Source organism: Homo sapiens, chromosome 12 (assembly GCF_000001405.40).
Source record: "Homo sapiens chromosome 12, GRCh38.p14 Primary Assembly".
NCBI lineage: Eukaryota > Metazoa > Chordata > Mammalia > Primates > Hominidae > Homo > Homo sapiens.
The window spans coordinates 27,750,157-27,762,426 of NC_000012.12; the positions used below are offsets into that span (position 1 = coordinate 27,750,157).

Consider the following 12,270-nt stretch of genomic DNA (forward strand, 5'->3'; position numbering starts at 1 on the left):
AAAAATTATGTGTTGGATTAGGTGATGCTGCTATAGGCCCCTCTCTAGAGGTGTTAAAAAATATATATGCACCATAATTCACTTTCTAAAATACAAAAATTTCTGAAATCTGAAATCCCCCAATAGATTGTGGACCTTTGTTTAACTTCCATAATACTCAGTTTTCTTATCTATGTAATTCTTAAAATCTATCCCAGTAAATCTTAACAACAATTGTATGTAATAATATACATAAGCATTTGAGATACCTGATATATAATTAAGTATTCAATTTGTTGGGATTGTTACTGTCATTATCTTGGAATTCTTATTCAGCTGTGCAGAGTTTGGATCCTAAAGCTAGACCATATAGAAAATGTGAATTGGCTGGGCACAGTGGCTCACACCTGTAATCCTAACATTTTGGGAGGCCAAGGCAGGTGGATCACTTGAGCCCAGGAGTTTGAGAACAGCCTGGGCAACATGGCAAAACCCCGTCTCTACAAAAAAAATGCAAACATTAGCAGGGCATGGTGGTACTCTCTGGTAGTCCCAGCTACTCCGGAGGCTGAGGCAAGGGGATTGCATGAGCTTAGGAAGTTGAGGCTGCAGTAAGCCAAGATAGTGCCACTGTGCTCCAGCCTAAGTGACAGAGGGAGACCCTGTTTCAAAAAAGAAAAAAGAAGGCCAGGTGCAGTGGCTCATGCCTGTAATCCCAGCACTTTGGGAGGCCGAGACTGGCAGATCACCTGAGGTCAGGAGTTCAAGAGCAGCCTGGCCAACATGGTGAAATCCCATCTCTACTAAAAATACAAAAATTAGCTGGGCGTGGTAGTTGGCGCCTGTAATCCCAGCTACTTGGGGGGCTGAGGCGGGAGAATTGCTTGAACCCAGGAGGCGGAGGTTGCAGTGAGACGAGATCATGGCACTGCACTTCAGCCTGGGTGACAGAGTGAGACTCCATCTCAAAAAAAAAAAAAAAAAAAAAAAAGAAAAGAAAAGAAAAAGGAAAAGAAAAAAGAAAATGTGAATTTTGTTTAGTTTGCAACTGAGGCTGAACACTGCATTGTTTTCAGTACAGGATAGGAAGCCAGGCCTTTTACAGAATGTAGTTTGTTTTCCTTACTAATGACTTTAAACCATAGTGATTTTCTTCTATAAATATACATTATTCCATAGTGCAGGGATTCCTGTCCTTTTTGTCAGATCCCGGGGTCTGGGTCCAGCCCATGCTGAAGTCCGAGGGGCGTGGGTGGATGAGCAGAAAGAACACCTGGGGGGCTGTAGGCAGGTGAAAGATAGTTTTATTCAGCAGCAGCTCAAATTAACAGCTTTCTTACACTAGCTCTCTTATGAACAGCTTTTCTTACACTGTCCACCTTTATCTCGGCGGTTTGCTCCGGCTGTGTGGCTCCCGCGACCCCCATGCCTGCGGCTTCCCAGAAGGCTCTCCCCTGCCTTCAGGGTCAGCAGCTTAACCCTTTATCTGGGCATGTGCAAGCCGAGCTGTGTCCTGGCTCCCTCCTGTCCAGACGGACAGCTTTGGCTGTCTCTCTTTCTCTGGGCACCAGTGCCTGCACAAGAGCCATGTTGAGCCAGGCTGCGCCCCAAGAGCGCCTGTACAACGGTAGCAGGGCAATTATACCTTTTACAGACAACAGTGGCTCAGAGCCAAGGATGTACTTACACAAACAGGTTATATAACAAGTGGGGGTGTGCGCCTGCACGCCAAACTCGCTGAGTCATGCAGGCCTGGATATCCACCTTGGCCTACCTCCATGTACCTTTTCATGTGATTACACACTTAGAAAATTATTTACTGGCCAGGTGCGGTGGCTTACACCCTGTAATCCCAGCACCTTGAGAGGCTGGGGCAGGAGGATTGCTCTAGGCCAGGAGTTTAAGACCAGCCTTAGGCAACATAGCAAGACCCTGTCTCTACAAAAAAAAAAATAAAATAAAATTAGCTGGGCATGATAGCGTGCACCTTAGTCATAGTCCAGCTAATCAGGAGGCTGAGGCAGGAGGGTCCTTTGAGCACAGGAGTTGAGCCTGGCGGTAGGTAAGCTTTGATCACACCTGAGATGAATGAAGGAGGAGGGTGCTTCATTCTGCTGCCAGTATTCGAGGCTCACCTGGCTGCAAGGGCTGAGGGAATCAATATCTTGGCATACCTGTAATACATCTTGGCAAACCAGTGTATAATTATATACACCAAATGTAAGGGGAAGAGACATGAAATGTGGGAATTATTAGTGGATTTACTTTGATTAATTCCTCTGCGTAAGCATCTATTTTGAAGCCGTTAAGAAAATTCAGATAAAACATGTGAAACTTAAAAATACTAAATAGTTAAGTCTCTTAATTGCCTGTCTTCTAGCAGTCAGGCAGTTGAGTCAGGAATGAGATGGAGTGACCGTTTTACTTAACGCTTTATAAAATGTATTTGTCGGTTTTTTAGATTAAGTATATTTTACCCTGTAAGTTTGAATTGTGAAAAAACTATGACATTGTCTTGAAACCTTTAAAACATTTCTAAGAGTAGATAGAACCAATAATGTAATTAATTTAGGACATTTATTTTTTAAGGGGCTGACATTTATTCCTTTCTCAAGTATTACAGTAAAAATTAGGTGGGGTAGGATAATTTTGCCAATTTTTTTTAATGCGCAGATTCAGAGTTTGTTAGAAATTATTTGCAGCAGAGTTGTGGGCGAGAGGCATACCAAGTTGTTTCAGGCTGGTCTAAAGGTAGTGAGTTATCTCAGTTGATTGTTCACAGTCAGTTTCAGTTACAGATTGAATGCCTTGTTCTGCTCTTACCCCGTTCTCACTACTCGACTAGCCTAAAAAATAATAATAATAAAATAAAAAGAAGTTGTTTCACATTATGCCTTCCCTGCCAAGCCTAAAACCTCCCGACCAGATTTTTTTTAAAAGAGGACACAGAGTTGGTTCTCAACTGGATATTTCTAGAACATATGCTGAGACGCTGTCCACAGCCATAAATTTATTACAGGGAGGTGGGGCAAACATGCAGGAATTGTAAGTGCAAATATACCCCACTTGGCTCAGGAATTTGGGGGCCAGGGAAGACATCCTGCATCTTACTGGTTTCCCTTGAAGGAATGGTACCCAGTTTGAAGGATTCAAAGGAGAATTTCTTCTCCTAAGTCTCTTCCTTTCGCCTCGGTGATCTGAGCAGGGTTTGCTGACTCGGTGTTGTCCCCAGTGGCCTATTATTTGTGATCGGTGGGGCTCCTCTTTACCCTTGGAGGAACACATCTCCAATGCTTTCTTTTCTTTTCATAGGCACTTGTAGTGGGGATAGGGGTGGGAGGGTGGCACGGGTGGAAACCTTACCTGCTTCTTGGTGCCCACTCAGCTCTGCAGAGCCTTGGAGCTGTCTACTCAAGCTGGAATCTCTTTGAAGGGGATTTTCTAGAGGTAGAATAGTATTTCTGACAGCCTCACAAATATACTCATCTTTTAATATTTTGCCACCTTTAAAAGTTGTTATTCAGAATAATAGATGATTCCATAGCAGCCTGTAGCTCAGAATATTATTATGTGTTAATTTGGAAAAAAAATGTGACTAGTATTCAGCACTTCTTTGAACCAGGGTATATTACTTATTAGCTGTATTGCTTGATTTTTCACAGACTGTTACATCTCCATTTAAATCATAAATCTGAATTATGCTGTATTACTGTAAAGCCTACCAGTGTTCCCTAGAATAGCATGGTAATAATTTTTGTAAGAAAAAACGAGTAGTAACAAAACATTGTTCACATTATGGGAACAGAAAGATAATAACAAAATAAAATTCCAGGATAGGCTGGGTGTGGTGGCTTATGCCTGTAATCCCTACACTTTGGGAAGCCAAGGCAGGCGGATCATTTGAAGTCAGGAGTTTGAGACCGGCCTAGAAAACATGGTGAAACTCCAACTCTACTAAAAATACAAAAATTAGCTGGGCGTGGTGGTGGGCGCCTGTACTTCCAGCTACTCAGGAGGCTGAGGCAAGAGAATCGCTTGAATCCAGGAGGCAGAGATTGCAGTGAGCTGAGATGGCCCCACTGTACTCCAGCCTGGGCAAGAGAGCGAGACTCTGTCTTGGCGGGGGAAAAAAGAAAATTCCAGGATATATGAAGTCATTATGACTAAAAACCACGTATTATGTGCATCATATTCTTAATTTTATTTTAATAATTAATTAGTCTTCCTCATCATCCCACAAGTATATCACAGAAATAAATACAGTCTCCTCTCAGCTCTCATTATTTTTAATAATGATCTCCTTGGTACTAAAGAAGTTGAAGATTACAACTCAGAAATGCAAAATGTTGGGCCAGGCGCAGTGGCTTACCTCTGTAATCCCAGGACTTTGAGAGGCCGTGGCAGAATAATCACTTGAGCCCAGGAGTTTGAGACCAGCCTGGGCAACATGGCAAAACACCATCTCTACAAAAAATACAAAAAGTAGCCAGGCATGGTGGTGGGCGCCTGTAGTCCCAGCTACTCAGGAGCCTGAGGTGGGAGAATCACCTGAGACTGCAAGGTCGAGGCTGCTGTGAGCTGTGATTGTGCCACTGCACTCCAGCCTGGGTGACAGAGTGAGACCCATCTCAAAAAAAAAAAAAAAAAAAAAGTGAAATCTTGATGTATTAGGGTTTAGAGAATAGCTGCAAAAAGTTATTTTCTGTATCTGCTGGAAAACAGCATATCTTTGTAAGTACAGATTGTAAGGCAGACAGATTGTAATTATGTGGATAGAGTAGCGAGTGGTAACAGAGCTTGACAGACCAGTGTTCACGTGACAGAGTGTGCAGCCCTCAAGCGCAGGTGCAGGTGGCTAACAGTACAGGGTTAAGGGGCCAAAGTGCACAGACAAGGTGTTGGCCAGGGCCTCTCCACATTTTGCAAACTTCTCTTCCCTTAAAAAGGAAGGAAAAAAAAAAAGAAGAAAGAAAGGAAGAAACAAACAAACATTTGATATTTCTCAGAATTCAGAACTCATTTTTTTTTGTTTTGTTTTGTTTCAGAATACTGAAGAATGGGAAAAAAGTAAGACTGAAGCAGACATGGAAGAGTATATATGGGAAAATAGCTCATCAGAAAGAAATATCCTGGAAACGCTTCTCCAGATGAAAGCTGCTGAGAAAAATATGGAAATAAATAAAGAAGAGCTCCTTGGTACTAAAGAAATTGAAGAGTACAAAAAGTCTGTTGTTAGTCTTAAAAATGAGGAGGAAAATGAAAATTCCATTTCTCAGTACAAAGAATCCGTGAAGAGACTATTAAATGTGACATGAATTATGGAGTAGAAAAATCTGCTTGATTTATTAATTTTATGATATATGTGATCAGTATCTAATTTGATATAAAATTGAAAATGTTAAAAAATCATTTTTTTTCCTCAGAGTTAAAATTATTTCCCTCATACTAATGCTTAATGGCAATGATTACTCCAGAGTTTTTTAATTTTTACACTGGGGCAATAGACTAGGAGGTCTCTGATTTCTTCTTGGTCTAAAGTGTTTTGATTTTATTTCTACATAATAGCTTTGGTATTCATGTATATACATGCATTTAATTGTGATTTTATCACCTTTCCCATTTCTTTCCCCACAAGCTGGCATTTCAGTAGTTGCTTTTGAATAATGGTTTTGGTTACCTGGGAAGGCAGGCCCAGAACCCATTTCCTTGACTTGCAGTTCCGGGCTGTGTTCACATGACTGCTGTCTAGCTGATGCATTTTTCACATTTGTCAACTCTGGTTAGAAACAGGTCCTCAGGAGTATTCTCTAACCTGATATTTTCTAAAAAGATATGTTGATTCAACTTTGTTTAGCATCCTACTTTCTAGATTGTGGGGCTCATTTTGCCAGGGCCAAGCTACCAGAAAAGTAGAAGTGGAGATTACCTGGTATGTATCTCTCTGGGTGCCCCAGTTAGAGCTGCCACAGCTCAGGAAAAAGATGAGGCATAACGACCTTGAATGTAATTGGAGTAAGTGACAAAATAAGAACTACCCTGGGAAACCCTGCATTCAATGTAGCTGTCAATTCAGTATTTTTAAGTACACCTGTCAGCTGTTTCTTACCACTTCGATGGTTGTGATTAATTTAAAATCAAAATAAAGGAATTACTGAGTTTATTTGCCTAATAGACTTATTTTGCCTAGAAGAATTAGAGAGTATAAATGAAAGCCAAAATGGAATTTCACAACGATTTCCTAAACCATTTGTGTGAAATGAAGGTATGATCTGGTGTGATTGAGGCCAGGAGTCTGTAGGTTATGAAGGACAATATGGCCTTGAGTACAAAAAGGAGAGAAAGAGGCATGTCGTGCCCTGCTGGGGCACCCTTATACTACTTATCATTTTAATCCTAGGGCTGACTTATGAATGAACTCAAAAGGGGCTAGACTGAGCTGAATTGGTAAGTAGTAGATGAAAAGCAGTACAGATAAAAACCAAAATTTTAGATCATGTTTAGAGCATATTTCAAGAAACATACCAGTACATTTAGAGACTCATTCGGAGTTAAGAAAAACTCAGATTCCTAACAGGATTGAAGAAGGAAACATTTTGAAAACAGTAGAAGCTGAGAAGAGATGATCATTTGGGAACATGTAAAGGAGCGGTAGCTTAGGGTGGTTTATCCTGTGTAATAATACAGTGCAGATGAAAGCAAAGAGGAGGATGTGTAATAAAGAATTTGACCTTACTCAGAGGTCTGGCCTTTGCCCTTGGCTTCTGGGAGGTAATCTATATCGTACCTGATAGGACTGTCTTTGTTTAGTGGGGTAACTGGCCCCAAAAGATCTCAGGATGGGACCAACATGCCAGAAAAACCTACCATGTGATTTAGGGTGGGGGCTTTCAGTCACATGATATTAGTCCACCTGGCAGCCGAGATGACTCAGCAGACAATCAGCAATCATACCTACATAATGGAGTCCAGTAAAATCTTTGGGCCAGGCGCAGTGGCTCACGCCTATAATCCCAGCAGTTTGGGAGGCCGAGGCAGGTGGATCACAAGGTCAGGAGATTGAGACCATCCTGGCTAACACAGTGAAACCCCGTCTCTACTAAAAATACAAAAAATTAGCCAGGCGTGGTGGCAGGCGCCTGTAGTCCCAGCTACTTGGAAGGCTGAGGCAGGAGAAAGCCGTGAACCCGGGAGGCAGAGCTTGCAGTGAGCCGAGATCGCGCCACTGGACTCCAGCCTGGGTGACAGAGCGAGACTCCGTTTCAAAAAAAAAAAATCTTTGAACACGGAGGCTTGAGTAAGCTTCTTGGGTTAGCAATACTCCATGCATATTGTCACACACTGATAGTAGGAGAGTAATGTGTCCTGACTCCTAGGGGAGAGCACTAGAAACTAAACATTTGAACGCTTCCTGGGCCTCAACTTACGTATTTCTTCTGTTGGGCCACTTTAATGTATCCTTTCCCTGTAATAAACTGTAATTGTGAGAATAATAGCTTTCATTCAGTTCTGAGTTCTAGTGAATTACTGAGCCTGAGGGTTGTTTAAGGAATCCCCCACAAACTTACAGTTGGTGTCAGAAGTAGGATGGCCTTGTAGAGGACTCTATCATCTTTTGCAGTTTGGCCAACTCCAAGTAACCTGAAGACTCTTAAACAATTGTTGATTCCTAATGGCAAAATCGTAGAGCTGACGGATTAATACAAAACTGCCTCAAAAACAAAACAGTTGGACCGGATGCAGTGGCTCATGCCTGTAGTCACAGCACTTTGGGAGGCTGTGGTGGGAGGATGGCTTGAGGTCAGAAGTTTGAGACCAGCCTAGGCAACATAGCAAGACCCTGTCTGTACTTTAAAAATGTATATATACATATATATCTGTATGTATATATAAAACAGTTGTTGTTATTGTAATTTTAGCAAAATTAAGCAGCACTATTTGTCATTAATCAGATCCTTGTCCTTTAAAATCTGCTAGTTGACAGAATGTATGCAATTGGAGCATTATATTCATCTTTATAATGAAAATGCTAGGGGATACTTTGCTATATTAATGCAGTCATTTCTGACTTTAAACTTAAATTGTATAGCCCAGAAGTTGCTTAAACACATAGGCAACTAAGATGTAGATCAGATCTCTTTTCTTAATTGTAGGGTGCTTTAATTCTTTTGCATATTTATGCAATATTGGTGTTTCATAATACTAAACAGTTACAGACTTTTTTTTTTTTTTTTTTTTTTTTTTTTTTTTTTTTGGAGAAGCTGGACGCAGTGGCTCATGCCTGTAATCCCAGCACTTTGGGAGGCCAAGGTGGGAGTATTGCTTGAGGCCAGGATTTGGACACCAGTCTGGGCAACAAAGTGAAACACTGTCTCTACATAAGATAAAAATTACCCAGGCATGGTGGCACACGCCTAGCAACTTGGGAGGCTGAAGTGGGAGAATTGCTTGAGACCAGGAGTTCAAGGCTGCAGTGACTATGATCACACTACTGCATTCTAGCCTGGGTGACAGAACAAGAACTTGTCTCCAAAAAAGGAAAAGGAAAAAAAGAAAAAGAAACAAACAAACTGGACCCTGGGGTCCAGTCAATAACTAAGGCCAAGGTTGTGACACCCACCTAGGAAGTAACCATGAAATCTTTCCAACGTGGTCCCTTTTTTTTTTTTTTTTTTTTTTTTTTGGAGACACAGTCTGCTCTGTTCCAGCCCAGGCTGGAGTCTGGAGTGCAGTGGCACATTCATGGCTCACTGCAACCTCAACCTCCCGGTCTCAACCGATCCTCCCACCTCAACCTCCCAAGTAGCTAGGACCTCCAGCTACTCCCAACCTCCCAAGTAGCATGCCACCACACCTGGTTAATTTTTTATTTTTGTAGAGATGGGGTCTTGCTATGTTGCCTGAGTTGGTCTGATTGTTTCTTAATAAAATTTAAAATTTTATTCGGAAGTTCTGTTTCGTCTCTGCCTCCCAGTAAGAAAGCAGTTTCTAGTCTCAGTTGTTTTAGTTCTTAACTGATTCTGGTCTGTTGTCTCTCCAGTCCAAATTTACTCAATTTATCTAATGGTCAGAAGGGTTGAAGAAGAAAAGGAATTTGTTTTCTTAGAAGGTAAATATACTTTTCCCAAATTAAGGTCATTTATATGAAATTATCAGCTTTAAGGAATGAGTAAAATTCTGAGAAACCCCAAGGGGAAAAAAAGCCTTTTTAATTCTAGCAGCCCTAGTCTATTGGAAAACCTCTAAGCAATTCACATATACTTAAAGGTAATGATTTTCGGCCTGGCGTGGTGGCTCACGCCTGTAATCATAGCACTTTGGGAGGCCGAGGCGGCAGATCACCTGAGGTCAGGAGTTTGAGACCAGCCTGGCCAACATGGTGAAACCCCGTCTCTACTAAAAAATGCAAAAATTAGCCAAGCGTGTTGGCAAGAACCTTAATCCCAGCTACTTGGGAAGCAGAGGCAGGAGAATCGTTTGAACCTAGGAGGCAGAGGTTGCAGTGAGGCAAGATCAAGCCATTGCACTCAAACCTGGGGGACAAGAGCGAGACTTCTCTCAAAAAAAAAAAAAAGTAATGATTTTCTAAATGTATGTACAAAAATGTATAAAGACAGCTTACTGAATTATTTCTGTAAATATAATTTTAGGGTAATTTAAATCTTGCTCCCCCCACTCCCTGCTTCAAATAGCATGGGTTTTTTTCCCCCTAATGTATTAGGGAAGAAACTGATAAAATTTATGACACCTAATTTTATGAATTATCACAAGTTAAGGTAAATTGATTTTTTTTATTTTTTTGAGACAGAGTCTTACTTTGTTGCCCAGGCAGGAGTAAAGTGGCATGATCTTGGCTCACTGCAACCTCCGCCTCCTGGGCAGCCTCAACCTTCCAGGCTCAAGCAATCCTCCCAACATAGCCTTCCAAGTAGCTAGGACTACAGGTGTGTGTCACAATGCCTGGCTAATTTTTTAATTGATTATGTATTTATTTATTTAAGGCAAGGCCTCACTCTGTTGCCCAGGCTGTTGCCCAGGCTGGAGTGAAGTGGCACATTCATGGCTTGCTGCAGCCTCGACCTCCAGAGCTCAAGTGATCCTCCCACCTCAGCCTCCCAAGTAGCTGGAACTACAGGGACACACCACCACACCCCCCTAATTTTTTTTCTTTTCTTTTTTTTTTTTTTTTGAGATGCAGTCTCACTCTGCCACCCAGGCTGGAGTACAGTGGCTAGATCTCGGCTCACTGCAACCTCCACCTCCCAGGTTCAAGGGATTCTCCTGCCTCAGCCTCCCGAGTAGCTGGGACTACAGGCTCATGCCACCACGCCCGGCTAGTTTTTGTATTTTTTAGTAGAGAGGGGATTTCACTGTGTTAGCCAGGATGGTCTCGATCTCCTGACCTCAGGTGATCCACCCGCCTCAGCCTCCCAAAGTGCTGGGATTACAGGTGTGAGCCACCGCACCTGGCCAATTTTTGTATTTTTTGTAGAGACAGGGTCTTGCCATGTTGCCCAGGCTGGTCTCAAGCTCCTGGGTTCAAGTGATCCTCCTGCCTCAGCATCCCATAGTGCTTGGATTACAGGTATGAACCACCATGCCTGGCCTTTTGATTAAATTTTAAAATCAGACTTTTAGCTGTGGTTAGTATTCAACTGCAAGAGATTTTATATTTTTCTTTTGTATTAAAAGAAATAGTCATTCTCTTTTTCCACCCGTATTAATACCAGGGAAAGAAAAGGAAATTGAAGCCACTGGACTTAGAAAATTTGGGTTTTCTTTTCTTTCAAAATTAAATGTTTTATTTTTATGGATTTAGGGGTACAAGTGCAGTTGTGTTACATGGATATATTGCATAGTGATGAAATCTGGACATTTAGTGTACCCATGGACAGTTCGTTTTAACATATGAGGAAACAGTACTATATTATAAGTATTATAAATAGGTTTTCCCCTTATTTATTTTATTTTATTTTTTTTGACAGAGTCTCGCTGTTGCCCAGGCTAGAGTGCAGCGGTGCAATCTCAGCTCATTGCAACCTCTACCTCCCAGGTTCAAGTGATTCTCCTACCTCACCCTCCTGAGTAGCTGGGATTACAGGCACGTGCCAGCATGCCCTGCTAATTTTTGTATTGTTAGTAGACACAGGGTTTTGCCATGTTGGCCAGGCTGGTCTCGAACTCCTGACCTCAGGTGATCCTCCCGCCTCGGCCTCCCAAAGTGCTGGGATTATGGGCGTGAGCCACTGTGCCCAGGCCCTTATTTATTCTTTATACTTATTATCTGTCTTTTAATATCTGTTCTCACATTAAAAACAGGTTTCAGGAATGAGAATAGGGGCCTAAAAAGCTTAAGTTTATTAGAGACTTGAACTACAGTATTCCACACTTAAGAGTCTTCTAAGATTTAGGGGGTAAATCTGTAAGATTTGGACAGAACTGAAACACCCGGAGCTAATCTTTACACCTGGGAAAACAGAATGTATACAAGTGAGGGATGTAACTAAAACTAAAACTCCCAAGCTTTATTCAACAGAAATCAACACAAGAAGCTCAAAGAGCTCTGTAGCACAATTATTGAAAGGAAGATGAAGACGGGTTGGGATTGAGAAGGATTAATCAATTGAAAGTAGAAAGCTAGATTAAGATCAGGAAGCATTTGCTTATGGGTTAGTAACTGTTAGTAACTGTTCTTTTGCTCAAATTACTACATGATTGCATTACTATACGTGACAATAATTTGACCTTGACTGGGAGGCCAATATGATGATATTGTGGTGTTTTCTTCCTGGTATTATTTTTTCATGCTTTTTGGGAAAACATAGGCTCTGAGTCTAACAGTGATTTTGAGCAGGGACTTGAACGAGACTGCCTGTGTTTAATTAAGTCCTGACTTCACTACTTAATACTTGTGTGTTTTTAGGGAAGATGTTTAACCTCTCTTCACCTCAGTTGCCTCGTCTGTAAAATGTGATAATAATAGTATCATGGTTAATAGCAGTGCACCCACCTCTCAGGGTTGGAAGGATTCAGTGAGTTCATGCCCCTAAAGCACTCGAACAGTGTCTCTCAGTAACAACTATAAGGATCAGAATTTTGCAACTCTGGCAGAGGGAACACTACTTAAAAAATAGAAATAACAACAAAGAAAGCAGTTATGTTTATCAAGCATTAGCCTTTTTTTTTTTTCACAGATTGGTAGGAGTGAGCATCCTATGTTTTCTTTTGAGACAGGGTCTGGCTGTGTTGCCCAGGCTGGAGTGCAGTGGTGCAATCACAGCTCACTGCAGCTTT

The 12,270-nt window shown here is 41.6% G+C and overlaps 1 protein-coding gene across 2 annotated transcripts in view, besides 1 other annotated feature; it reads left to right on the forward strand.

Moving 5' to 3' along the window:
• The window catches only part of MRPS35 (mitochondrial ribosomal protein S35), a 45,464-nt gene extending 39,325 nt beyond the window's left edge, over positions 1–6,139 (forward strand). For both annotated transcript variants that reach the window (NM_021821.4, NM_001190864.2), the window contains one exon: positions 5,025–6,139. In NM_021821.4, coding sequence (NP_068593.2) covers positions 5,025–5,294 — 270 coding nt within the window. In that variant the 3' untranslated portion in view covers positions 5,295–6,139. The remainder of the gene's footprint in view (positions 1–5,024) is intronic.
• Positions 964–1,738: an enhancer, noted in NCBI's record as "H3K27ac-H3K4me1 hESC enhancer chr12:27904053-27904827 (GRCh37/hg19 assembly coordinates)". NCBI's record gives its function as "activates a minimal SCP1, AML or CMV promoter by ChIP-STARR-seq in naive H9 embryonic stem cells {active_cell/tissue: H9 hESC(naive)}" and the evidence as "EXISTENCE:reporter gene assay evidence [ECO:0000049][PMID:30033119]".
• Positions 6,140–12,270: the final 6,131 nt, after the last annotated feature.